The sequence below is a fragment of the Homo sapiens genome, chromosome 19 (assembly GCF_000001405.40).
Source record: "Homo sapiens chromosome 19, GRCh38.p14 Primary Assembly".
NCBI classification, from domain to species: Eukaryota; Metazoa; Chordata; class Mammalia; order Primates; family Hominidae; genus Homo; species Homo sapiens.
The window spans coordinates 9605461-9607328 of NC_000019.10; positions in this window are offsets into that span (position 1 = coordinate 9605461).

Consider the following 1868-nt stretch of genomic DNA (forward strand, 5'->3'; position numbering starts at 1 on the left):
CTTGGCTTACTGCAACGTCCACCTCCTGGGTTCAAGTGATTTTCCTGTCTCAGCCTCTGGAGTAGCTGGGATCACAGGCGCCAGCTACCACGCCCAGCTAATTTTTTGTATTTTTAGTAGAGATGGAGTTTCACCATGTTGGCCAGGATGGTCTCAAACTCCTGACCTCAGGGGATCCACCCGCCTATCCTCCAAAAGTGCTGGGATTACAGGCGTGAGCCACCACATCCGGCTTGATAACTCTTATTTTTTTGTAGAGATGGAATCTCACTATGTTGCCCAGGCTGATCTTGAACTCCTGGCCTCAAGCAATCCTCCTGACCCAGCCTCCCAAAGTGCTGGGAATATGTGTGTGAGCCACCATGATCAGCCAGAATAGACAACTTTTATTATTTTTTAAAATATTTTGTACTATTTTTTTTCGAGATGGAATCTTGCTCTGTCACCCAGAGCTGGAGTGCAATGGCACGATCTCAACTCACTGCAACCTCCGCCTCCTGGGTTCAGGCAATTCTTCCTCCTCAGCCTCCCAAGTAGCTGTATTACAGGCTTGTGCCACCATGCCTCGCTAATTTTTGTATTTTTAGTAGAGATGCGGTTTCACCATATTGGCCAGCCTGGTCTCCAACTCCTCACCTCTTGATCTGCCCACCCCAACCTCCCAAAGTGCTGGGATTACAGGTGTGAGCCACCATGCCCAGCACGTAGTATTTTTCAGTAGAGATGTAGTCTCACTATGATGTCCAAGGTGGCCTTGAACTCCTGGGCTCAACTGATCTTTTTGCCTAAGCCTTCCAAAGTGCTGGGATTACAGGCCTGAGCCACTATTCCCAGCCTAGATTCTTATAGCATATAGATGGATAAAGAATTTAGAAAAAGTAGGAACATTCCCCAATACAGTATATGACAGTCATAATTTACATGTAAATATCATTCAGGGCCGGGTGCAGTGGCACACACCTGTAATCCCAGCACTTTGGGAGGCCAAGGCAGTTGGATCACGAGGTCAAGACATCAAAACCATCCTGGCCAAAATGGTGAAACTCCATCTCTACTAAAAATACAAAAATTAGCTGGGCGTGGTGGTGCATGCCTGTAGTCCCAGCTCCTTGGAGGCTGAGGCAGGAGAATCGCTTGAACCGGGGAGGTGGAGGTTGCAGTGAGCCTAGATCGTGCCACTGCACTCCAGCCTGGACACAGAGCCAGACTCTGTCTCAAAAAAAAAAAAAAAATCATTCAGGGACAAGAAGAAAAAAAAATTGCAGTTATTCAAACATAGCTCCATAACATATTAGTAAAGGTAATCAAATAGTCTTTTAAAATGATCCATTATGTCTCAGTTGGGCTTATCCAGGAATGCAAGGTTGATGTAACACTAGAAATGTAATAAATACAAAAACACATTTATTTTATTTTATTTCTGATGGAGTCTCACTCTGTCACCAAGGCTGGAGTGCAGTGGCACAATCTACACTTAATGCAACCTCCACCTCCCAGGTTCAAGCGATTCTCCTGCTTCAGCCTCCTGCGTAGCTGGAATTCCAGGTGCACACAACCACACCCAGCTAATTTCTGTATTTTTAGTAGAGATGGGGCTTCACCATGTTGGCCAGGCTGGTCTCGAACTCCTGACCTCAAGTGATCTGCCCATCCCTGCCTCCCAAAGTGCTGGTATTACAGGCATGAGCCACCACACCCAACCTGACCACATTTATTTTAGAGATGAGTCCTTCCATGCATTCATTCATTCGTTTTGTTTTTTGTTTTTTGAGATGTGGTCTTGCTATGTTGTCTAAGCTGGTCTAGAACCCCTGGGTTCAGGCCATCCTCCCAAGTAGCTAGAACTATAGACATGCATCACCACATCA